Source organism: Homo sapiens, chromosome 17 (assembly GCF_000001405.40).
Source record: "Homo sapiens chromosome 17, GRCh38.p14 Primary Assembly".
Classification (NCBI taxonomy): domain Eukaryota; kingdom Metazoa; phylum Chordata; class Mammalia; order Primates; family Hominidae; genus Homo; species Homo sapiens.
In genome coordinates, this window is record NC_000017.11 from 80,813,876 (window position 1) to 80,838,323 (window position 24,448).

The 24,448-nt window shown below is 52.8% G+C and overlaps 1 protein-coding gene and 1 long non-coding RNA gene across 3 annotated transcripts in view, besides 8 other annotated features; one reads left to right on the forward strand and one right to left on the reverse strand.

Moving 5' to 3' along the window:
- The window catches only part of RPTOR (regulatory associated protein of MTOR complex 1), a 421,531-nt gene that overhangs the window by 269,038 nt on the left and 128,045 nt on the right, over window positions 1-24,448 (forward strand). For both annotated transcript variants that reach the window (NM_020761.3, NM_001163034.2), the window contains exons 8-10: window positions 8,326-8,426; window positions 9,204-9,348; window positions 24,047-24,122. In NM_020761.3, coding sequence (NP_065812.1) covers window positions 8,326-8,426; window positions 9,204-9,348; window positions 24,047-24,122 — 322 coding nt within the window. The remainder of the gene's footprint in view (window positions 1-8,325; window positions 8,427-9,203; window positions 9,349-24,046; window positions 24,123-24,448) is intronic.
- Window positions 6,542-7,145: an enhancer, noted in NCBI's record as "H3K4me1 hESC enhancer chr17:78794217-78794820 (GRCh37/hg19 assembly coordinates)". NCBI's record gives its function as "activates a minimal SCP1, AML or CMV promoter by ChIP-STARR-seq in primed H9 embryonic stem cells {active_cell/tissue: H9 hESC(primed)}" and the evidence as "EXISTENCE:reporter gene assay evidence [ECO:0000049][PMID:30033119]".
- LOC124904076 (uncharacterized) lies at window positions 10,459-13,025 on the reverse strand. The gene is made up of 2 exons (XR_007065933.1): window positions 12,363-13,025; window positions 10,459-12,033 (listed from the first exon to the last, which is right to left on the reverse strand). It is a non-coding gene; the product is annotated as an uncharacterized LOC124904076 (long non-coding RNA).
- Window positions 13,385-14,075: an enhancer, noted in NCBI's record as "OCT4-NANOG-H3K27ac-H3K4me1 hESC enhancer chr17:78801060-78801750 (GRCh37/hg19 assembly coordinates)". NCBI's record gives its function as "activates a minimal SCP1, AML or CMV promoter by ChIP-STARR-seq in naive and primed H9 embryonic stem cells {active_cell/tissue: H9 hESC(naive and primed)}" and the evidence as "EXISTENCE:reporter gene assay evidence [ECO:0000049][PMID:30033119]".
- Window positions 14,076-14,765: an enhancer, noted in NCBI's record as "OCT4-NANOG-H3K27ac-H3K4me1 hESC enhancer chr17:78801751-78802440 (GRCh37/hg19 assembly coordinates)". NCBI's record gives its function as "activates a minimal SCP1, AML or CMV promoter by ChIP-STARR-seq in naive and primed H9 embryonic stem cells {active_cell/tissue: H9 hESC(naive and primed)}" and the evidence as "EXISTENCE:reporter gene assay evidence [ECO:0000049][PMID:30033119]".
- Window positions 17,971-18,743: an enhancer, noted in NCBI's record as "H3K27ac-H3K4me1 hESC enhancer chr17:78805646-78806418 (GRCh37/hg19 assembly coordinates)". NCBI's record gives its function as "activates a minimal SCP1, AML or CMV promoter by ChIP-STARR-seq in naive H9 embryonic stem cells {active_cell/tissue: H9 hESC(naive)}" and the evidence as "EXISTENCE:reporter gene assay evidence [ECO:0000049][PMID:30033119]".
- Window positions 19,210-19,519: an enhancer, noted in NCBI's record as "active region_12945". NCBI's record gives its function as "activates an Ori minimal core promoter by ATAC-STARR-seq in GM12878 lymphoblastoid cells {active_cell/tissue: GM12878}" and the evidence as "EXISTENCE:reporter gene assay evidence [ECO:0000049][PMID:35858748]".
- Window positions 19,210-19,564: a biological region, named in NCBI's record as "ReSE screen-validated silencer GRCh37_chr17:78807023-78807239".
- Window positions 19,348-19,564: a silencer, noted in NCBI's record as "fragment chr17:78807023-78807239 (GRCh37/hg19 assembly coordinates)". NCBI's record gives its function as "represses an EF-1alpha promoter that drives an FKBP-Casp9 reporter gene in an ReSE screen in HepG2 liver carcinoma cells {active_cell/tissue: HepG2}" and the evidence as "EXISTENCE:reporter gene assay evidence [ECO:0000049][PMID:32094911]".
- Window positions 20,289-21,060: an enhancer, noted in NCBI's record as "H3K27ac-H3K4me1 hESC enhancer chr17:78807964-78808735 (GRCh37/hg19 assembly coordinates)". NCBI's record gives its function as "activates a minimal SCP1, AML or CMV promoter by ChIP-STARR-seq in naive H9 embryonic stem cells {active_cell/tissue: H9 hESC(naive)}" and the evidence as "EXISTENCE:reporter gene assay evidence [ECO:0000049][PMID:30033119]".

Consider the following 24,448-nt stretch of genomic DNA (forward strand, 5'->3'; position numbering starts at 1 on the left):
GTAATCCCAGCAGTTTGGGAGGCCGAGGCAGGTGGATCACCCGAGCTCAGGAGTGTGAGACCAGCCTGGGCAACATGGTAAAACCCCATCTCTACCAAAAATACAAAAAATTAGCTACGTGTGGTGGCATGTGCCTGTGGTCCCAGCTACTTGGGAGGCTGAGGCTGAGGTGGGAGGATCGCTTGAGGCTGGGAGGTGGAAGTTGCAGTGAGCTGAGATCAAGCCTGTGCACTTCAACCTGTGTGACAGGGAGACCTCATCTCAAAAAAATTTTTTTTTCATAAGACAGTTTTGAAATATCTTCCCTTTTCAGGAAACTTGCTGTAGCCTCCTTCTTATTTAAAAAAAGGGGGGAAAAGTTTTGTTTTCCTTTAATACGTAAATTGTATGTTTTCCGTGTAGATTATTAAGCACATAAGCAAAAAGAATTAAAATCATCCATTTTCTCCAGCATGCCGGGATAACCATTATTAACACTTTGTGTATACCCTTCCAGACTTTTGTCTAAGTGTATTCTTGGGTATTTTTTTGATTTTGTGCCCAAAGAGATAATCTAGGGGAATGGCCACCAGAGCGTTTCACGAGCTTCTTAGATGATGGAATTTGGGATGATTTGTATTATCTTGTTTTCTTTTTTATCATCATTTGAGTACTTTTAGTGAGTTTGTCCTATTTCTTGGAAACCGTAGTTTTTCATTTAACATTTTGTTTACATACAGTTTGACAATCATTCAGTGGGGATTCACCCATTGGCTCATCGTATGTATGCGGCACCTGTTCTGTATTCAACGTTTCATGCCATCAAATATGTACACGGCATCTGTTCTGTATTCGACTTTCACGCTAAGCATCGTAACAGCAAGATGAAGAAAGAATGTAGTCCTCACTTTCAGAGCGCTCCAAGCCTCAGCTTAGACACAGCCTAGGCAACAGTGTCTCAGAGACATTCACAGCTCTCTGGGCAGGCATCAAAGGAGCAGCCCCAAGCAGGGAACCCCTGGGTTGGTGTGGGAGAGACCCCAGGGGAGTGTCCTGAGAGGAGGCCGGACTTGAGCCAAATGATAAAGGATCCATAGGTGTCCCCTAAGCCAAGAAGACAGGAGGGTGGTCTGAGCAGAGCACACAGGATGTTTGAGAATGACAAGTCTGACATGGCTGGAAAGCGATGTATTTGGTGAAATAGAAAGATGGGGAGGAACAGAAAATAGCACCAGGAAGGTAAACATGCTTGAGTTACTCAGCCTCCACCATGGCAGCCGCGTGACTGTGCTGGGGAGCAGACACTAGGCAGTTAGGGGTGCACAAGGTTTGTTGGATGTAACACCTGGCAGAGGCCAGGACAGAAGCTGGACCTGATGTACACCTGGCCCAGGCTCTGCTGGCCCCATAGAGAGAGAGCTGTCGCTCCAACTCAGAGGTGGCCCAGCCTCTGCAGGCCCCGTGGAGAGAGAGCTGCCACTCCAACTCGGAGGTGGCCAGACTCTGTAGCTCAGCTGTGCTACAGGGCCACCCAGAACAGAGAAAGGCCTCATCTGAACACTGGCCCAGTCCCTGTGCGTACCAGCTGGGACTGTCCCTGTACCGCGCTTTTTCCTGCCAAGGGCCCAGCCCCGTGTCCACAGGCAGCAGACAGCCATCGGCATCAGTGGGAGCAGCTGTTTTTTAAGTGGGGAAGTGACATGGCCCAGGCCTGTGGACTGTGGAGATCACACCATGTGCTTAACGAGCTGCCGGGAGCTGTGAGATTGATTTATGTCAAGGAAAACAAGTCATTATCCATGGGAATTTATCTAGCTACACAGAAAATTAACAGTGGAACAATGGCGGGTAATAAAAGAAAAAGAAAGTAAGGGATTCGTTGAGCACCAAAGAAATTTAGAGGAAGATCTCAGCTGTCATCCTGTGCTGGACAGTCCGTCACGTGCAGAGCATCCTCCCGACTGGCGAGGTGGCTTCCACGTGCCCCGTCAATCAGGGCTGGACAGTCCGTCACGTGCAGAGCATCCTCCCGACTGGCGAGGTGGCTTCCACGTGCCCCGTCAATCAGGGCTGGACAGTCCATCACGTGCAGAGCATCCTCCCGACTGGCGAGGTGGCTTCCACGGAGCGATTCTCGAGACCCGAGGGGCGTGGACACAGCTTCTACGCAGGCAGTCGGAGAGCCACTGGGCTCTTGGCCCTCACTCCTCCAGCCAGAGGAGTTTTGCTTTCCTTTGTCCTGCATAAGATTTTGTTTGAGTAGCTAAAAAGTAATGGAAAACCACCACAATGATCAGTGGAGAACCTTGTATGTTTGGGGGCCCAGCTGTGTGTTAAGAGCCATCAGCCTGTGTAGCGTGAGCCAGGGCAGAAGGGCCTGGCCCGAGAATGCTGTCTGGACGCCTGGCAGGCCTGGCTGCAGGGTGCCGCAGAGGAGGTGGGAAGAGGCATCTTTGGGAGGCCTGGCTGGCCCCAGTGCAGGACCAGAGAGCAGCTGAGGGCCTGGGGCCTCCGGGGTTTCGAGCCTCAGTGAAACGCGAATCCACAGGGACTCTTGGAGTGGGGACCAGCAGTGGAGAAGATGGAGGCATTGCACTTGATTTTACACACGTTCCGCTTGAGCTGTGATGCCAGGCAAGCCGAGGGTGAAGGGAAGCGCCTTGTCGTGAGACCTGGAAGGAGCAGGGCTGCCGCTGGAGCAGATCCTGGGGTGTGAAAAGAGCTGGCGACGCAGTGCTCCCAGAGGTCACTAAGGGAGGAGCCGGGTGCCAGGGGAGAGACAGTCAGGATTTGCAGATTCAGCAAATGAAGAAAGGCAAGGCTGGCCAGCCACTGGAGTGAGGGGGCTTGGGAGGAGGTGGCTTGGAAGGGCGGTGAGGACAGAAACCAGCTTTCGCATGGCAGGTAAGAGGAGCCTACGGGGGCCAAGGAGAGCTTAGCTAGTGCCAGCTTCAGGGCCACATGGGTTTTCCCCAGGGTAGACAGGCATAAGGCCCCAGCGGCCACTGCATGTTGAGCCCCAGCAGCCAGTGGTCTCCCCGGCCCATCCCTGGTCCTCCCATTCCTGCGAGGCGGCTGCGGGGTCTGGGTCTGGTTTCTGCCACTTGTCTCTAGTGGAAGACACACCCTCATAGAGCCTCAGTTTCTCCATCTGAAAAGCAAGTGAACATAAGACCTGCCTGGCGTGGGCATTGGGAAGGAAGTCTTGGTGGACTTGGCAGGTGGGTGACTTGGGGGCCTGGGTCCACCGAGCCGCACAGCGGGAGGCACGGCATGAGTGCCCAGCTGGCAGCGGTGGTGGAGGTAGTGTAAATGTTCATGCTGAAGAAAATCCAAGCCTCTGAGAGGCTGGGCAGCTAGTCCACAGTCACAGAGCCAGTCTCTGGCCAAATTCAAGCCCCCGTCTGTCTGGCTCCCAAGTTTAGGCCTGGAAGTGAAGGAAAAGGAAGGCTGGGGGTTCTGCAGGGGAGACATCCTGATGACCTCACAGCCCCTTGTCCTTGTCCTCTGCATGGATGGGGCCAGGGACGGCAGTGAGGCGGCCACCCCATGGGGAGGAGATCATGTGTTGCGTCTCCTGAGTGCAGACGGAGCTGAAGGCGCCCCCGAGAATCCAGGTGAGAGCAGGAACCTGGAGAGACTGGGAGGCAAGCACCTGCCACGTGGGCACCTGTGAGTGAACCGGGGAGGGACAGGGCCCCAAGGAGTGGGTGGCACCTCATGCTGGAAGTGGGGAGCAGGCAGAGTGATGGGGCAAATGACAGGGAGCCGGGCAGGTCCGGGAGAAGGGGTGGGGGAGGGAGCACCCTTGGGAGAGTGACTGTGATGGGCTGTGATCCCTCAGGCATCTGGTGGAGAATCAAAGGCGAGGGCTGGAGACACAGCAGCTCTTGTTGAGTGACAAGTTCCCAGCAGAGGGTGGTGGTGGGGACAGCCAGGGGTGTCAGGGAAGAAGAAGGGGCCTTAGGGGAAGGGCACCTGCTTGGCATTTCGGAGCTGGCCTGGCACTCTACAGTGGTTGCACAAATGGGGTGTGGATGCTGAAGTTCTGCCAGAGTCTAGCAGGGCCGGGGTCATCATGATGACCTGGATGTTGCAGTAAGGAAGATAAATCCTGGCAAGAAACCGCATGCCACAGGTGAGCCCGGAAGTGTGGGGGAAGGTGGAGATAAACCCTCCTGCCAATGGCAGTGAAGGAGAGTTTGAGGAGGCGCGGGCCCTGTTGGGGGGCCACCCCGGCATCTGCCACATCTGTTGTTGGAGTGTCATCTGTTTTATTTTAGTCGCCATTTTGCATCAGGGTCAGCTGTGTTGACTCAGCAGAGAAACAGGTACCACGAGTCATCCAGCCATAGCACGGCTGGGACCAGCGCTTGAGTTTTCTTGTCTCCCAATTCAGGAGTCTTTTCCTGAACTGTAGCTTTTTACAGTTTTCACATAGAAGTCCTTGATTAACACTCTGAATTTAAATTTTAAAAGAGCCACCTTGATCATTAACCCTTTGAGGGTTCAGAGAAACTTCTAGAATGAAACATGGTCTGACATGGACAACATACACCAATAGGCTTCTTCTGTGGTCCCCTCGTGATCTCAGTGGCCTCCCGAGTTGGGCAAGACTCAGCATTGGTTAGGATCAGGTACAGAAAGGAAATCAGAAACAAATCGTTTCTGCAAGGATTTAATTTTATGTGACGTGAAAAGTGAGGGATGCTGGACTCGGTTCCACCTTGTCACCCCCAGTAGGACCAGGCCTGCTGGATCAAGAAGCCTCATCAGCTTTTGCTCACTGGATGGTTGGTTCATCGACTTGAATGATTTCTGGGTCTGTCTGAAGTCGGCTGGGCAGATGACTCTGTCTGGTTTCACGATGAGCTTAGGGAAGAGACCAGTGGGATTTTCAGGACCATGTTGGGAGAGTCTAGCTTTGCATTTATTTACTGGTGATCATCACAAGATACCAATTTGTAAAAACACAACTAAGTACACACTGGTCCTATCTGGCCTCCGTTTATCTTGATGGCTTGGCCATCCAGTGACAGTGCTGGGGTGTGGGACCTCGTGGGAAGCTCTTTGCTGCTCAGAATGCAGCTTTCTGTTAACCAGTGGTCACAGACTCGGGAACAGCAGGGGCTCTATGAGCTTCAGTCGATTCAGGATACGTGGGCTCACGTTAGGGATGTGTTTAGTCCTGGTTTGCAAACAGCCTGCGGGCAAATGGTCTGTCTGTGCTTGTGATGGTCCCTGCACTTCTTCCGGAATGCAGCCCTGGCCCCCGCCAGCTGCTCGAGCTGTGCTGCACCCCTAGGCTCCCTCCCCAGCATCACCAGGGCCAAGGATGAGGAGATGCAGGAGCCAGGGTTTTGGCAGTTCCCTGTTACTCAGGTGGGCACACTCATTGCAGTAAATGTTGATGTATAAAGACAAGGAAGGGTATCCCCATGATCGCATTTTGAGGTTTTTCCTCCAATTGTTTCTCCTTGCACATGTTTGATGTAATCGTGACTATAGAGTATTTGTCTTGCTTCTTTACTTAATGTTATAAAGCATTGTCCCATATTATTGAAATATTCAGAACAGTTTAACTGCTTGTAGCTGCTGCGTCGTGGTTGTTGCGTGGTTTGTTTAATCATTTCCCTCTCATTGGTTTCGGAGCGAATTTTGGGCTTTCTGCAATGGCAGATGACACAGCACCACACACCCTACATCCCATTTCCCCATCTTGCTTCCGGTTTAGGTATGGTTGGTTCCTGGAAGTTGATGTACTGAGCTATGTAGATTTTTCCGACTTTTACATGTGGTAAAGAAGGTAGTGCCAGCGCACGCTCGTACAGGATAGAAGTGTTTTTGTTTAGGGCAGGGACAGACACATCCAGCTGCCTTAGAATGGGGGCTCTGCACACCAGAAAGACCAGCTGTGTAACGTAGAGTGTGGACTTTGAGTGATGCAGTATCAGTCACTCAATCGGTCTTGTCTGTGTGACTCTGAATACACAGACTCCGGGCACTTCCCAGGCTGGCAGTGCTCCAGGCACGTTGTTACAGTCGTGCTGGGAGGGTAACATGTCTGAACCCCATGGAGCGAGGACCTGAGCTCTGCAGTTGGTGTTGGGCCCCACCCTGCCCTGGGCGCCTCTCTTCCTGAGGCTTGGGGACGGTCCTCTGCCCTCATAGTTTGACTAACTCCAGATATGTTGAGAGAGGAGAGAACCCGTGACAGGATGCTGAAGATCAGCAACTCCCGTGTCCTCCTTCCTTGCACAGTCGGGCCACTTATGTGTTTACTGATCCTAGGCCACAGAGCTTCGGCGTGTGGTCTGGGCGCTGTCTGTCCTCTGCATGGCTTTGGTAAGGAGGGCAGGCAGCGCTCGGTGACAGTCCTGCAGCTTGAAAGAGGCGGTGTTTTTGCGGAACAGTTATTGACGATCTTGTCAGTCATTTCATTAAAACGGTTTTCAGCATATGTGTTTCTCATCTGCAGGTGTGGGACCCAAGACACAAGTGTGTTGGGGCTCCATGTCCACCCCACGATGCCCCCCGTGCCCCTTCTCCGTGCTGTTTCCTAGGGCTGTGTCCCGGGCAGCCACCCCTGTTCGCGCTGGCGCTTGAGGGCTGAGATGAGCAACCTGGTAAAATGAGTTCCTGGATTGTTTGCTTGCATTTCATAAGGAAATGTCTTCTCTTTGGGAGGTGTGCCCCACCCTCACATTCCTCCGTGGGGCCAAGCTCTGTCGTAGGTTGTTAGAGGGTGGGCACCTTTGCTTTTCCTCACTCCCCTGCTCGGAGGTCGGAGGGCAGGCAGCCTGGCCATTCCTCCTGCGCACAGTGGACATGCTTGTTCTGAAGCGAGAGCAGACTGGGGAGAAGGAGGAGGGGCTGAGACGAGTCTCTGCTGTCCTTGTGCCGTGTGTTCGCCTCCAGGCCTGGGTTTCTTTTAAATGGTGGGAATCCTTCATGATGCCTGCCCTCCACCACCCACACAGCTAATGAAAGGGGCTTCTCCGTCATCCCCGTCCTGGCCAGCAGCCTGACTAGAAAACCCTGATGTTGGGTAAACTGGTCTCCACTGTGGAGGTCGAAATTTTTCTTGAATTTGGAAATCTTTGTTTGAGACTTCCGGCATTGTTTGAGCAGCAGTGCTGCTTTAGAATATTATACTAACTTCTCAATTTCTCCTTTTTCTTGCCCTATCACTGAACCTATTTTGAGGAAATAAGACGTTATTTTCTGTTCGTAAAGGAAAGAAAGAGCATGTGTTGAAGAATTACATTAAGAAGCTTGCTTAGGCTGGGCATGATGGCTCATGCCTGTAATCCCAACACTTTGGGAGGGTGAGGCGGGAGGATCCCTTGAGCCTAGGAGTTCAAGAGCGGCCTGGGCAACACAGTGGGACTCCACTACAACAGTTTAAGAAAAGAAGTTCACTGAACTTAGCTACCCTGTGTTACTGATGCATAGCCTCTTTGAATATTATTCTGATGAAGACGGTGCCATCAGATGGTTCCTGCAGTGGGAATTGCTGATCAGCTAAATCTTTTTGACAGCGGGATCATGCTTATGGCTCTGAACACGTGGCATTTGGTTTTCCATTCCGAGTTACTTCACTTAGAATAATGGCCTCCAGCTCCATCCAAGTTGCTGCAAAAGTCATGGTTCTGTCCTCACGGCTGAGGAGTGGTCCTTGGTGCTGCCTGCCCCATGCGAAATGGCAGCAGCCTCATCCCCCCGCCCACTCTCTGTCGTATTTGTCTCTGCGTCATCTGCCGTCACTTGCCACCTCTAATGTGTGCTTGTTCATTTGCCTGTTACCTGTCCTTCCCCCTAGACCCTTAGGACAGGGCCTGGGCGCGCGCTGGCAATCCCCACATCCCTGTCGCAGGTATCAGCTGCGTGTTGAATACACGGGAGCAAAGTAGACCTTGCGGGCGAGACTCCTCCCAGCATGGACGGTGTACTTCCACAGCGTTCGGTGGCTGAGGTATAACCCTGCAGAGCATGATGTGGACTGCTTTCAGCACGTGCCACAGACTGCCCTTGGGGTCCAGTCATCGGTCCATGGGAACCATGTGTGTGACCAGCTGGGCTTGGTCTGTAAGTCTGGGGACACCAGAGGAAGAAGCTGTTTTGGAGATGTGCGGGAAGGAGGAAAGCTGCAGATGGAGGTTGAGCTCTGAGCTGTGAGCTCATGGAGAGTTTGATTCTCCCTGCCGTGCGCCAAGCTTCTGCTCAGAGCCTTCCTCCCTCGCTCAGAGCCTTTCGCCGCCCGCGCCCTTTTTTCTTGCAACCTCTCTTCCATTCCCTGCTCTCAGAGCTGTGGCATCACTCATGAGAACGCCCCTTGTTTTCTAGGATCCCTGGCCGCCTGAACGACAGGAGGACGCCCCTGGGTGAACTGAACTGGATCTTCACAGCCATCACAGACACCATCGCGTGGAACGTGCTCCCCCGGGGTGAGGCGCGGGCCGGGCCTTGGGGAGGGAGGCTATGGCCTTGAGTGCGCGGGGAGCCGACTCTCGGACATGAGAGGAGTCAGATAGGATCCGTGAGTGCCTCCCTAGTGAGGAAGACAGTGGGAGGGGCTGAAAAGTAGAAGGCGACCACCTAAGGAGGTGTCTGCGAGGGGGTGAGTTACTGCACGCCAGGTTCTCAGAACGGTGGTGTGGAGAGACTGCGTGTCAGCGCTGGCCCTGACCGGTGCACAGCCCTTACTGCGCACCGGCGGCTTATCTTCAGAGTCGTCGGCATTATTCACACTGGCTGGAAACCAGAATTGCTGTTGTAAGACTTGTTTGTATTTTTTATTGATTGGTTGATTTGGGGTGTTTGTTCACATGTACGTATATGTGCACTGTGTGTGTACATGTGTACATGTGTATGCATACACGTGTGTATATGCATATTTGTGTGTGTGTATTTGTGTATGTGTACACCTGTATGTGTGTGCGTGTATTTGTGTATGCGTGCCCATGTGTAATGTATCTGTATAGGTACACACCTGTGCACACACATGTATGTATGCATGTGTGCATGTGTGTACATTTGTGCACGTGTGTGTATGTTTAAGTGTGTGTACGTGTGTGTTTAAGCGTGTGTGTGTGTTGCTGATGGGAGATATGCATATTAGTCCCAACTTTAGTAATTTTTGATAGAAGTGAATTTGTGTATTTGGCTTTAAATGCTAGACACAAGTCACTGTAGACTCCTTTTTATCTTTTATCTGCCCTCAGATCTCTTCCAAAAGCTCTTCAGACAGGACTTGCTGGTGGCTAGTCTGTTTCGAAATTTTTTATTGGCGGAAAGGATTATGAGGTCGTATAACTGCACTCCCGTCAGCAGCCCGCGTCTGCCGCCCACGTACATGCACGCCATGTGGTGAGTGTTTCAGGATCCTCCAGGTGCCGTGCTCCCCCGCCCTCCGTGGCACTGTGATGTCATGGAATTGCACGGAGCTGGGCAGGGAGGCCCCACACCTAACTTGGGGACCCCGTGTAGCATTAACAAGTGAAGCTAAATGCAGGGCTCCCAGAGATCTCCACACAGAGGAGTGGGGGTCTCCTTCAGAGGGCAGAAGCCTTGGAGGGCCTTTTAGGACTGCACGGGAGCAGCGGCCGGCTGAAGCCTCACAGCTCTGCAACTCGGGAGGGTAGCACTTTGCAAGAGAGTTTCTAACCTTTTAGAAACCAGTAGTGAGAAAATAACTTGCTGACTTGAATTTATGAAGCACATGCAAGATCGCTCTGGAGAATTAAACTGTTGGGCTCATGATCAATTAGTTTTTATGCTTATTTCTCACACACACACACACACACACACACACACACACACACAACGCTCATAAGTGTAATCCTTTATGACTATTGATTATAGTTCTCTCCCATTGCTGAGTTGCTACTATTTATACAACTCCTATTAGTAGTAACAGTGACAATAATGTGATTTGTTTTTAGTCTAGACATTATATTTGAAGACGTTTGGTTTCTTTCTGTTCTGTGGCTGTCCTAACAAGCAGGTTTGGGCAAATTCTAAAATGGTATTAAAACAAAGGAAAAATATTTCTGTTCATCAATGGGAGAAACCCTAACAACACAAATATTTTTAAAAGAGCGATTAACGTATGCCTAGCCGCAGAAGCCATCATGTGGCGTATTTTCATGGCCAGGTTTATTTTAGCTAGTGTTTTGTGTTTTCTTTTTAAACGTGTACAGGACCACTTTCCCTCAACCCTGGAAACCCAGAGAAGCAAGAAGGAATCTAAACTCACTACCCATCACCCACTCCAGAAAAGTTAGAAATAATCTAATTTTTAATGTTTATAATAAATATTTATATGCGATAGATCAAAATACATTATACCCAGCATAGCACTTGGACTTTAAACAGCAAAAGTTAAAGCATGCATGATCTGTATCCTTCTTAAGACTCTGTAAGATAAAATAGAGAACCCTGATAAGGAGAAAAGGAAATTGAAGTAAACCATTTAAATAATGTGTAAATAAAACCACCGCACATTTATTTTTCACGAATCCATGAATAACAGAGCTGTAAAAGAGACAGGTGTTTGAAAAGCCTTTGCAATACTTAGAATAAATATTTAAAATGAACATTTTTTAAAAATAAATACTTAGAGCATTTTTGAAAGAGTATATTCTCAAAATGGCCTTATTCCTTTAAGAAAAGTAAGGCCTTAAATCCTGTCTCTATTTCCTCTAAGACAGGTTATTGTAATACATTTATTTTAAAAGAGGAAGGAAAAAGAAAAAAAAAGCTGAAGGGGTCAGTGCCACATCAGATCCTGGATCAAAAACTAGTTCAGCACTGGGAGCCGGTTGAGCACTCGGAGCGGGGTGGGCAGGGCCTCCAGACTTGCAGGTTCCCTTACCAGGAATCAGTCCATGGAAACCTTTTTCCTTCTAGCGTATGTTTTCTCCAGATGTAAAAGCACCTCCTATCTGATGTGCTCAGCTGCGCAGAGTTAAAGACAGTGACATCACATTGGAGTCCGTGGTCAAAGACCAGAGCCAGAGCACAGAGAGGAGCCAGGAGGGATGAGCAGGCGAGGACAGGTGCAGGGAGGGGCATGTGGCAAGGCCGGCGTGGGGCAGCCACATCCCACCTCTCCATCTAGAGGCCGCGTGGCGAGGCCAGCGTGGGGCAGCCACATCCCACCTCTCCATCTAGAGGCCGCGTGGCGAGGCCAGTATGGGGCAGCCACATCCCACCTCTCCATCTAGAGGCCACGTGGCGAGGTCAGCGTGGGGCAGCCACATCCCACCTCTCTCTCTAGAGGCCACGTGGCGAGGCCAGTATGGGGCAGCCACATCCCACCTCTCCATCTAGAGGCCGCGTGGCGAGGCCAGCGTGGGGCAGCCACATCCCACCTCTCCATCTAGAGGCCGCGTGGCGAGGCCAGCGTGGGGCAGCCACATCCCACCTCTCCCTCCAGAGGCCGCGTGGCGAGTTCGGCACAGGGCAGCCACATCCCACCTCTCCATCTAGAGGCCGCGTGGCGAGGTTGGCACAGGGCAGCCACATCCCACATCTCTGTCTAGAGACTGCTTTCTAGGACTGGCCCCTCAGAAGTTTTCTGAGTGCCAGCATTTATATCAGTGCTGCTTTATAGAAGGTCCTTGTCTAGGCCTAGCTGCAGCCTCTCCCAGCGTTGCTGGGGCTGCCCTTCCCTGCCCAGAAAAAAGGCCAGCTATTCTGCAGACTCTGCTCCCTGGAGCCTCACAGAGCCAGCCCTCACCTGTGCTTATCGGTTGCACTAGAGAATCATGAGGTGATGTCGCAATCCACAGAGGCCCAGAGAGCCTGGGGACAGCATCACAAGGGTGCCTCGCAGCCCCTCTTCCTGACGGTCACTGTGGACACTCCGGCTTTTCTCCTCTCCTGGTTCTGACCTCCCTGAGTGTGTCAGAGGCTCCGCTTGGGCTAATGTGCGCCTTTAGTGATCCAGCCCGCATGGTCCATCATCCCACCACAAGCAGCCTGCGGTGTCGTGTCCTCCCGCTTCCCTTTCGGGCGCGTTCTTCTCCTGGTTGTTGCAGGGTGGGCTGTCTGGGAAGTAGACGGAGACGGAGGCTGGTGTCATGACACTGCTCGTGAGTGGAGCAGCCCTGGGTCAGCGGTGGAGGGGTGGGCGGAGAGAAGTCAGGCTCACCTCCGCCGGCCCTGGGGAGCTCTGAGGATGGGATGGGAGGTGAGTGGGCCTGCCTGCATTCTGCGTTGGTTGTCAGACATAGGCCACCCAGAAGAGGGCCTGACAGCCGTGAGCCACCTGCCTGTGGTGCCCCCAGCAGCTGGGGCAAGAAAACCTTGATCCTGAAGGGGATCCCGGCCCCTCCCTCACAGTGTCTTGCTGTAAGAGAAAATCTCACCTGCCTTACCTGGGGCTGCTGTTACCCCAGCCCCATTTTGATGGGGCCCTTGGGAGCGGAGGAAGCGCAGTGCAGAGGAGCTCTTCCACAAGCGCACAGCCCATTTGCAAGAAACATGTTTCCTCTCCTCATCCGGGAAAGTGACACTTCCCGGCCGGCTGTGCAGAGCTCGTCACCAGGCCCTGCTGAGGCCTGTGGCAGTAACCGCAGGTCTGGACTAGAAGAGAGCAGCCAGCGGCACCCGGCCACTGTAGCGGTCACTGGTGCAGCCACTGCCAGCAGCCAGGGCCTCCGGCCCAGCCCAGGTACAGCGGAGTGAACTGTGTTCATGTAGAATCACAGCGGCGATGCCCTTAATTGCTAGGCTGGGGCAGGGAAGCACCGCCCTGGCCTCCTCCTGGTCCCTGGCACCCTTCTGCCGGGTGTCACTGTGTCCCCATGGTTGGGTTTGACGGACATCAGGGATGAAGACTGAAGAAGAACCAGGCCAGGAGTGGTGAAGGGCAGGGCTCCTCCAGTGGGGTGCACAGGGTGGGCCCCCGTGCCGTCACCGCTGGCCACTGGGCACACCTGTGGGCTCCACCAGCCACACAGCTAGAACTCGCCCTGCTGTTGCCGATGGCCTGGGTGGCTTTGGGGTTTCACCTTCAACCGGCAGAAGAAACATTATGCGCTTGAATTTTTTTCCTTTTTCTTTTTTAAACTCACACCTGGGCACGCATCTGCGTACTGCCCTGGCGACTGACGTGAGCATGAAGGGAGCTTTAGTCAGCCGCTCGGCCCGCGGGAAGGAAGAGGCGAGCAGGAGTGACTCACACCAGGCTCGGGCTCCAGGCTTCCTGGCAAAGCAGTGAATGTGAACACCCAGGGGGCAGCTGTGCCAAATTGAAGCTGATTTGTGCTGAAAGAAGAAAACCTCATTCACAGATTACAGACCAGTCATGGCCCTTCTGGTGGACGCGTCTCCCTCTGCTTAGTAATAGGAGTTCCTCCAGCGCCACTTGTGGGAAATAGAATTTGAAGGTGGAAACAGCACTAGGGAGGGCACTAGCCATCTAATCCTGTGTGACAGCAGTGTCGCTGCAGACTTGGCAGCTCAGAACAGCACGTGGCCTCCAGATCCAGTTCCTGTTGTGGGGCTCAGCCAGGTTCTCTGTGCAGGGTCCCATCAGGTTAAGGCTGCCTTCGCAGTTGAGACCACCCGCCGTCCCCACCAGTGGGGTCCTTAGCTTGGCCTCCCACCACTCAGAGCCAGCGCAGGAGCCGGGTGCTGCATCCTCACCTAGTGCCACACACAGTCACAGCAGCCATCACCGTTGCCATATTCTGCTGGTTGAAAGCAGTCTCAGGTCCCACCTGCACCCCCAGGGAGGGGCCACACCTGGGACAGGGGTCCTGGGGCCACGTTCAAGCCTGTCCACCTCAGCTGGTGAACTGTGCTGGGGTTTGGAGAGGGTGAGAGTAAAGTCGCAGAGCCCAGGGAGCAATCTGACCACAGCTCCCCTGAGGCACACCAGTCGCGGCGGGTGACCACAGGTGGTCATGTAAGAATAGGAATTCCAGTGACTGACTGATTAAGCGCCTGCTGCGTGTTGGGCTTTACAATTGTTAGGCCATCTCCCCCTCACAGCAGGTACTGCCGCAAAGCTACGATTTTTACTATCAATATGCCCATTTTACTGATGAGAAACTGGGGTGTGTGAGGACCTGCATGGTAGGGCCAGGCTGTGGCTCTAGCCGTCTAGTGCCAGCCTGCCCCATGCTGACTTAGCGGCGTACGTGCTGAGTCATGGGATGTACGTGCATGAGCTTCTGTTTCAGGCGCATCCCTGGGACAGGAGTGCACCCAGGCAGAAGTGGTGTTTAACCAGGGAGGAAAGCTCTTGTCACCTCTTGTTACACATGGCCACTGTGCTGGCGGATCACAGCATCGTTGTCAGCGTGAGGAAGCTTCCCCGGTGTCTGAACGAGTCTGATCAGGCAGAGACGAGCAGGGAGTGGCACTTAGCGACCTGCTGTAGTCATGCTCCTGGGAGCATGCTCCTGAGACCATGCGAGGTCTCAGGAAGGATGTGCGCCTCATATGAGAAACCCGTGGCAGGTGGCATTCCTTGCATTTTGCAGTCAGCTGCATCCCACCTACAGAACAGAGCCCTGGGGTTTTCCCTCCAGCTGGACATGAGAAGCTGCTGGGGAGTCAGCAGCCCTGTCCTGGGATCCGAGTCGTCTTGGTGACTCCCACGCTTCGATGCCTGGCCGAGACCCGCCTGGCTTGGGCCTGCCCTTGGTTGGGACCTCACTGACCTGAGGCCCCTAACCCCGACCCCTGCCTTGGCTTTACGGCCTTTACAGTGCTGGCCCCGGTGGCCACCCACCTGCCTGCCCACCGTGCTCACCCTGCCTTTGAATGCCCAGCCTCTTTGCCCCACAACCAATGTGACCTGGCTTAGGAGCATAGCTGAAGCAGGTCGCTAAGGAAAAACCAAGCAACGGGACTAATGGGATGTTCTGAAAGACAAGGACAAATCAAGCCATTTGTCAGAACATTGGTTATAAGAGGGAAAATTTGGGAATAACTCTACTACCTAACAGAATAGGAACGTAAATTCAGAACGGATACTTAAAAGAAAATGTAAGCAGTCTTAAAATTTTATTCATGAGTATGCAAAATATATGTTAAATGAGAGAAACAGAACACCAAATTGCATCAGCAATATAGTTAATATCTATGTTAAAATACATAGTACACACAGCAATAAAACACTAAACAGATTTATAAATAAACATTAATGATGCTTGTGCCAGGGTGGTACAATTGGAGTGATGGTTCTCCATTTTAAAAATTGATAGATATTACTTTGGTTAATTAAAAGTCTGCCTGTAGATTTTCTAAGCCTTCGAAGCACTAAAAGCAATTTTTAAAAATAGAGTCTTTATGGCTAAGGCATTATTGTTCATAAATTCAGAACTAGAGACACACAGAAGAAATCATTACATACTTCTTTACATGAGGAGAATCATGACTGGTAGAGTGGCCTAAGAGGCAGGCGTGGGGGCTTTCAGACAGCAGAAAGACGGGGCTGGTGTCCAGGAGGGCGCGGGCATGGGTAGGGCAGCGCCCGGGCTGTGCTCAGTCCAACCGGGGCTCTGCGGGGCGGTTTTGGCCCACAGTTGCCAGTCATAGAGTAGCCAAAAGTTCATATTTTCATTTTTAATTATCTGATTATTAGATGTTGATATCTAACGTGGCATTAAAAAACATTCTGCGAGCCCAACCAGACACATCCAACCCGACACATCCAACCAGACAGCGGCCTGTAGCCTGCCTGTTCCAAGCTGGGCCATGAACCCCTAGGGACAGAGGCTTCAGTGAAGCCCTCGGTGCCTCGGCTCCCAGCATGGGGGGCGGCCCGTAGACATGGCAGTGCCGCGTGCATGGAGAGGGCGGCGTCCACGGCGACTTGTGGCCGAGTCTCAGGATGCTTCCCCCACTCTTCTTCCTCAGCCCCTCCTGTGCGTGTCCAAGGGTCCTCTCTAGTTAGGGATATTTTCTGCAAGGTCTGACATCGTGTCTTCTTGTCTTTCTATGCTGGGAAGTGCCAAATAAGTAATATTAAAGGGTTCTTTGTACAGAAATCAATGATGATGTGAATTCAGGGAGAATCACTTGCATTTTACACATGTTCTCTGGGGTAGGTTTTCAGCAACAAGGATGCCAGCGTGAATCTAGAGCTAAAAAGTAAACACGAGTCAGTTCCATTTAATGCTGAAAATTATATCATGAGCCAACTTTGATAGGGAATTGAATGTAAAAATTGGGCTTTAGATTTGGAGAAGATCCTAGATCCTCGTAGGAGAAGAAAGACTGGAAATGTGGTCTGGCTGGTCAGGAGCCGGGACAGCAGGTCCCACGCTATAGGTGTACACAGATTCTCCCCGCTGGCTTCTCTGTTCTGTGGCATCTTCCTGGTTTCCTGGAGTCAGGGCAGCTCCACTGGCCTCAGTTTCCAGAGAACAAACCTGACTGAGGTGGACTTGCCACCTTGGCCACTGACCAGTTCCGACCCCGCCCCGCCCCAACTCCAGCTCCACCCAGTTCTCTCATTTCCTCTCCTCTCACTGCCACCAAAACATTATGTCAAAAAATGGGGGTTTCTCAGTCTGTATCAGTTCACTATGTGTGCAGAAAATTTATCGGAATGACTTTAACGGTAGTAGACCACCCCCCAATTCTGAGTGCTGACAGTTTGTAAAAGGCCCTTTCCAGGTGCTCTGCCAAAGCCACTCACGCACGGCCTTCTCACGGCGTCGGGCTGCTGCGCCCCACGGTGCCCCCGCGCTGGGCCATCTTGCACGGGCCGCTGCTGTCCAGTGGCTTCGAAAGGAGTTTGGTAGTTGAGGTGAGACCGCAGGTGCGCTGCTCCAGTGGCTTCGAAAGGAGTTTGGTAGTTGAGGTGAGATCGCAGGTGCACTGCTCCTCAGGAATGGCAGAGGCTTCCCATGATGGGGAGCATCATTTTCATCTTTTTTTTTTTTTTCGGAGGCGGGGTCTCGCTCTGTCACCCAGGCTGGAGTGCAGTGGTGTGATCTTGGCTCACTGCAGCCTCAACCTCCCAGGGTCAAGCAATCCTCTCACGTCAGACCCCCAAGTAGCTGGGACTACAGGCACACGCCCAGCTAATTGTTTTGTATTTTTTGTAGAGATGAGGTTTCACCAGGTTGCTCAGGCTGGTCTTGAACTCCTGAGCTCAGACAATCCTCCCACCTTGGCCTCCCAAAGTGCTGGAATTAACAGGTGTGTGCCACCGCGCCCAATAGGGAACATCATTTTAAAGCAGCTCTTTGCTTCCCAGCGGAGATTCCATAGCAGCCGTGTGTTGTTCCGATGTGTGTTTTCCCAAATGCGCTACACAATTAAGGTGCTTAGGAGGGAGGAGAGGCAAGCACAGAGGTTTGGCTTGCACTAGCTCCACGTCCTTCCCGGGTTTCAGAAAGGCATGTACTTGCCCTTGCACTGCCCAGAGACCAGGCCCCAGCACTGCCTCCTCTCCATTCCCCACGGAGGCTGAGACGATTCCTCAGTCCATGTCACCCTGAGAAAATCCCCCTCCAATAAGGCATTTGATTCTGTGGAGTCCGTTATTGCAGAATTTTACCTCCACTCTGTCCTAGGCGTGTTAACATTCGAAGTCTAATTCTAACTCTTAGACACTCTCACCACGTCCTTAACACGAGTGAGTTTACTAGTCTGGACACAGGAGGGAGGCTTCTGGAAGACTGGGAAACCCCAGGCCTTCTTAGATATGAGCAGTCCTTGCTGCTCGTGATGAATTTCATGCATGACTTTATCACTGTCCATCGGAATCCCGCCGAGGCTCTGGAGGCAGAGATGTCAGATCTCTGATGACAGTGAACTTCCACAGAGGGCAGCAGCATCTCCCTGTGTATCCTTGTGTATCACTATGTATCCCTGTGTGTCACTGTGTATCCCTGTGTGTCACTGTGTCACTGTGTATCCCTGTGTATCACTATGTATCCCTGTGTGTCACTGTGTATCCCTGTGTGTCACCGTGTATCCCTGTGTGTCACCATGTATCCCTGTGTGTCACTGTGTATCCCTGTGTGTGCCTGTATGTCACCGTGTATCCCTGTGTATCACTGTGCACACAGTAAAATTTAACAAGAAGCCAGTCCATTCCACCATGTTACCATGTTGCAGATTTAGGGAGGCGTAACCACACAGACTTGGTACTGGTCTTGATTGTGGAGGGCCTTTATGCTGAGCCAGAGATGAGGAAGATGTTGGTGCCTGGCTATAAGGGCTTGAGCCAGGTGGATACGGAGGGCATGCAGCCAACACCGCTCTTGAGACACCGGCTGGGTTAGTGTGGAAAAACTCCATTGAATGGTTTGCCTTTCTCCCTGGAGGTAGTTAGGTGTACTAGTTGAAACACCCATTCATTGGGAACCCGTGATCCAGGGGCTTTACAAATGGGCATGTGTGAGCATAGGCAGCATAGGCTGCCGTGGCCCCAGGTGTCAGGGTGCAGGCGGCTCCTGTCTTGGAGGCTTCCATCCCCCGTGGAAGCTCGTGCTGGCCACTGGAGCAACATTCCCGCAGGTGGGAAGGCCGCGAGGAGTGGACGAGGCAGCTCAGGCCTGGGGGACAGACTTGGAGCTCACATGCCCATCGCCCCCCTGTCCTGTGGCAGTGTCTGGTCCAGCCTCATCCAGGGAGGGAGGGAATGTGGCCTCCACCTTGAGTGGCATGTCCCAGCTCCAATGCTGTTCCTTAACAAGGGCAGGGAGGGAGGCACAAAGGAGTGAGGAGTGGTTTCAGACGCTCAGACGGAGAACATTCGGCTCAGAAACAGAATCGTGCTCTCCTCTGTTACTAGATTTTGCCAACTGCAACTGAGGACTGAGCTGCTGTGGAGGTGGGCTCCTCACCATGGGAGCATCACCGGGGGCTCTGCAGGGCTGTCTGCCACGAAAACAATGCCCAGAGCTCTCTCCTCCCCTCATCAATAGACCAAAGTGTGTACATCCCCAGGGAGCACACAGGAAAGATAGCAGAAAAGAGCATTTGGAATAAATAATGTACAATCTAGCTATTATACTCCTTGGGTGGTGATGGAGAGGTTGAATTTTTAGCAAGAGGAAAGAGGGAACAAAGCCTAACAAACATTGAGGTTAAAACATGAAGTCATCTGCATTTACACTTTGCTTCAGGCCGCGGCAGTAATGAATACTCAGAGCCGGCTTTCTGTTTAATGTTTGATGCAAAGTCACCGGGGAGTCATTCTCCTTCACTTTCAATTTCAGGGGTCCTGAAACCCTGCGTTTCTCTGCGGTAATAACCCGTGCTTTCCGTTCCCGGGGCGGGCGCGCTCTGACTGATCAGCGCAGATGGAGGCTGTGCGGACTTGGACTTGGACGGTTTTCCTCCAGCCCACCTCCTGGGCACCCGCCATCTCAGGGCTGTTTCCTGAAAACCCAGCTCTTGCCTGGATGACATGTTTTCCAGGCGAGTGACTCATCAGAACAGCCAACAGCTTAGAAAGTCCCTCTGCCCCCAGCTGCTGGGGGGGAGGAGCCCACGATGCAGATGAGCTGGTCACAGCTAATCACAGCCTCCTCCCCTCAGATCTGCACTCCAGCACTCCAGCCCTGCTTCTCCAGGCAGCTTGATCGCAGGCTGTGGGAAGTGCTAATCCAGACACCTTCCCGGTCCCCTCCCACCTTCTGCTGTCGTGTGCTGCCAAACCTCACAGGGCTGGCTGCTGCCGCCGAAGCCCACCACCATGGCCTCTCGTGTGTACGTAGGACCCACTTTCCCACTTGTCTTTAGCTGGGAATCCCAAATTAGAGCTGCAAGTGTGTGTTGATTTTACCGTAGAAAATGCAGCCAGTTTTAATCAACAGATAAATGTTCATTAGAGAATACCGTTGTTCTGCTGTTTAAAAGGTTGCCGTGCAGGCCGGGTGCAATGGCTCACGCCTGTAATCCCAGCACTTTGGGAGGCCACGGCAGGCAGATCACCTGAGGTCAGGAGTTCGAGACCCGCCTGACCAACATGGTGAAACCCCGTCTCTACTAAAAATACAAAAATTAGCCAGGCGTGTGGCACATTCCTGTAATCCCAGCTACTCAGGAGACCGAGGCAGGAGAATCACTTGAACCCGGGAGGCGGAGGTTGCAGTGAGCCAAGATCGCACCACTGCGCTCCAGCATAGGTGACAGAGTGAGACTCCGTCTCAAAAAACAAAACAAAACAAAAGGTTGCCATGCGATTTTAGAATTTAATGGGTAATCTGGCCCTGTAATTTGGTTAAATAAATAAATAAATAAACCACCCACGGCCCCGAGAGGGCCTCTGGCTTGCTCAGCAGGCGGTGCCAGGGTGCAAGCTCCTCCCAGTACCTCCGTCTTCCCTGCCTTGCTCTGAGTGGGGCTGTCCTTCGGGCCCAGGCCGAGCTGTGGCTTGAGGTTCAGGGCCGCTTCACTGTGTGCTGATAATCGGGTTCCAGCGCTTGTCTTTCAGCGGTTTGTAGGCGTTCTTTTACATCCTTTCTTCTCATTAGTACTTGAACAAAGTTATTTTCCTCCTCTCATGTAGACAGCTCTGCCTCGAGTCCACAGCCCTGGGTAGCCGGACGGCCCCGAGCAGCCTCCGTGCATCGTCTGGGCGCCGAGCCACAGCCCTTCCTCCTGGGCTTTGTGTCATCCCCGCAGCCTCCTGAGCCTCTGTGCATCAGTGAAACCAGAACCATCTGGGGCTGCTTTTCTGGTCTGAAATGTGGAGCTGGGTCAGTCCCCGCCTCCCACCCCGGGGCTGGATCCAAGTGGGCCCCCAGCCTTTTAGGAGCACATGTCCCACTGCAGCAACATGGGTCACGTGTCCGAGAGAGATTGTCACCCGTGGCTCTGACACAGCTTTGCTGGGCGGCATCCTGTCCGGTGTGCTGAGCGATGTCTCCAGTGCAGTTCAGGCCTTCAACACCAAGCGAGGGCCTTGGAGAACGTGCGAATAGGCTTTCCGGGAGGCATGGTTCCAAAGGCGCCTTGCCCAGCACTGACCGAGGCCACACCAGGTGCCACGCTGGTCTGCTCGGCCCACGGCCCGGACACCCTCTCTGCCCTCCTCTCGCCTCCACCTCCCCTAACTTGCACACACTTTCTTCTAACTCCTGAAGCAGAAACTTTTTATTTGATTAAATTCGAGGAATCTTTATAGAGTTTAATTGCAATAATTGACTTTGCTTCTGTCTTAACAAAGAGTAAAATCTCCCTCAATGCTGCTGAATACCATTTGCCTGCAGCTGGGGATTTACTGGGCATATGGGAGCTATTTATTGCACGTACTTTGAGGCCTTTTGATTATCTCCTGATTGCTTCTTAACTCTGTTGGCAGGGGAAGGGCATGTTTGTGCAAAGAGGGCCAGTCTTGGGAAAATTGAAATATATTTCATATATTTGAAAGTGAAAAATTGCTCTTTAGTCCCTTTGTTCATCTTAAACTTTTACTTTTTTTTCTGGATTTTAACATTTTTCATTCTCATTTTGGTCCTTTACTAAGACATTGAGAAAATATGCCCTTTGACACGGCAGCACGGAGTGTCATTAACCTAAAAAATAACACAGAGTCCTCGAGTCTCTTAGAAAATTACCCAGGAGAAGAGAGCGCAGTGCTAGAAGCAGAATCCAGTATACTGATCATCACTCGGTTTCCACAAGGAACATATTTCTAGCAGAAAGGGAGAGTAGGGCTGAAGGGATTGCTGTCCTTCCTCCATCCCTACGACGAAGGTTGAGTGTCCCTAATTCAAAAATCCAAAATGTTCCAAAATCCGAAACTCTGTGAGGGCCACCACGCTGCCACAGGTGGACAGTTCCCCTCCCGACCTTGCGGGCGCAAACTTTGTTTCATGCACAAAATTGTGTAAAATTCGCTTCAGGCTGTGTGTGTAAGAGGTATATGAAACATACATGGAGTTTACTCTTAGACTTGGGTCCCATCCCCTGATATCTCATTATGTATATGCAAATATTCCAAAACCTGAAAATATCGGAAACCCAAAACACTTCCGGTCCCAGGCATTTTAGAGAAGAGATACTCAACCTGTATCCGCGGAGATCAAGACTGTGTTCTGTGGCTGTGCTGAGAGCGAGGTGATGATTCACTTCCAGTTGAGAGTTCATGTTGGATGTTGTGGCGGGGCCACAGCAGCTGCCTCCGACTGACCCCTGCTTTGTGTCAGCCGCTCTACGAGGACGCTGTGAGGGAGGCATGATCATAAGCCCATTTCACAGATGGTGAAACGGATCCTAGAGAGAGAGCCACGCGCCCAGAGCCCCAGAGCCACACGCTGAATTTCACCAAGCAGCCTCCCACACGGGCTCCCTGGTCAGGCCCTCATCCTCCGGGCGAGGCAGCGAGGCAGGCAGGTCAGCCGCTCCCTGGGCCGGAGCTAGTGGGTAGCAGAGCTGGGAGCAGAGCCCAGGCTCATGGCTCCCGGTCAGATCTTTTCTTCCCTCTCTCCTTCTCGAAAGTCACACGGGGCTGCTCATGCACAGAGGGTGCTTTCCTGCTCGCCCTCACTCTCATTTAGCCAATGCATATTGAAAGCCTGCTATGTGCCTGGCACTGGGAAAGAAGTTGGGTACGGCTGGATGCCAGGGCACCTGCAGGATGTCTGTAATTCAGCGTGTGGCTCTGCGGCCTTGGGCGCGTGGCTGTCTCTCTAGGGTGAAACAGTCTCATGATCATGTCTCCCTCACAGTGTCCTTGTAGAGCAGCTGACACAAAGCAGGGGTCGGTCAGAGGCAGCTGCTGTCCCTCTGCCACAGGGCTAGAGATGTCAGAGGTGCTGGGGTGTGCCAGGCCTGGGGTACCACGAGAAGGCCAGAGCCACAGAAAGGCTTAGGGGGGCTGTGTTAGAGCCTCCGAGAAAGCTCACAGGGCAGCTGGCCTGGAGGGAGGTGCCGGCAGAGGGGCCCATTGGGAGGGGGCTGTTAGGACAACACCGAGGCTCTGACAAGGCCATGTCAGGAAAGTGGCGATGGTGGCTGGGGGTGCCCCATAAGGCTGTTGCCTACACCTGGGAATCCCAGGAACTGGCCTGGAGGTGTGAGGTCCAATTCAGACTGCCGGCTGTTCCTACAGTAGAATTGGGGTGTGGAGCTCTGGGGAGAGGTGTGAGGCTATTTTAAATAGCGTCTGGGGGTGTCGGTGAGCAGGTGGCATTGGGCGCCCTGAGCAAGGATGAGAGCAGGCAGGGAAAGGGCTGTGGAAGCTGCAGCAGTGCGGCCCTGAAGGACGGGGTCGGGAGCCCGGGGAGGAGGCTGTCTCACGTTCACCGTGACGGGAAGGAGGCCGGAGGAGAAAGCCTCATAATGTCCAAGGGGGAGAACTCAAGAGGGACAGTGTGGTCGGTTACTGTGACAAGGGGTCTCGACAGGGGAAGCACATCACCGGGGTCATCTGTGGAGCCACTGTGGCTTGGGGGGAGCAGCTCTATGCATGGTAGGAGACCCCAGACTGCAGGGTGCCTGGTGAGACCCACAGGGAGGCAGCAGGAACTGACTGAGCAGGTGGCTGTCCACACCAGGGAGCAGCAGGGGGGAGGCAAGGGAGGGACAGGGAGGGGCCTGACGGCACCATCACAGCGCAGAGCTCAGCCCTGACCGCCAGGACTCCTTTCCCTGACTGCATGCCGACCCCTCCTGATGAGGCACTTTGGGCCTGGCCCTGGTGTCTCTCCCGCGTCCCTCCAGGACGCTGCCCCATCAGAGCCTGCGCAGGGACCACAGCTGCTTAGAACACGTGGGCTGCCAGTACATGGGTTCAAGTCACAGTCAGAAGCCACAGCAGAAAATGGGAAGCATTCCTTTATTTTTCCAGGCTTTTTTTCTTATTTTATTTTAAAGAGAAAAAATGTGACAAAATGGTGAGGATGCTGGCAGCGCCAGCGTTCCCGGCCTGCACTCTCTCCTGGCCTCCCCTCGGACGTCTTCTGCAGCCCAAATCTGAACAGCAGTGAAACCGTAAACATGCCCCCCACCAGCTGCCGTGGCCTCCGCCCAGACCCTTGCTGCCCAGGCTCAGCCGGCTCCTCCTGTGCCCTGTGAAGTGGCCTCGTGTGGAAGCCCGTCCATAATGCTCAGTGGATTTCCTCTGTTCTCTCCGCAGGCAAGCCTGGGACCTGGCTGTTGACATCTGTCTGTCTCAGCTGCCGACGATCATCGAGGAAGGCACTGCGTTTCGGGTGAGTCCCTCCAAGGGCACCCTGTGCATCCGCGGCGGCAGCCACTTCTCTGGGCACCTGGACTGCAAAGCCCCCAGACTGGGGGTGGTGCCCAGGACTCTCGGGTGTCAGATTTTGTTCACCTGCCTGGAAAAAATGTAGTTGCCAGAGTTTAAAACATCGAGTCAACCAGGGTTTAAAGTTAAACTTTGAAAGAATCAACTTTTAAAACAGTCCTATCTCAAAATTTTGCTATTACAGATCTACTTTTCTTAATGCGGACTCACTCCCTGTGAGTGGTGATCCTGTTACACTTTCTAGCCTTTTCACCACAGACGCGTTGTGGA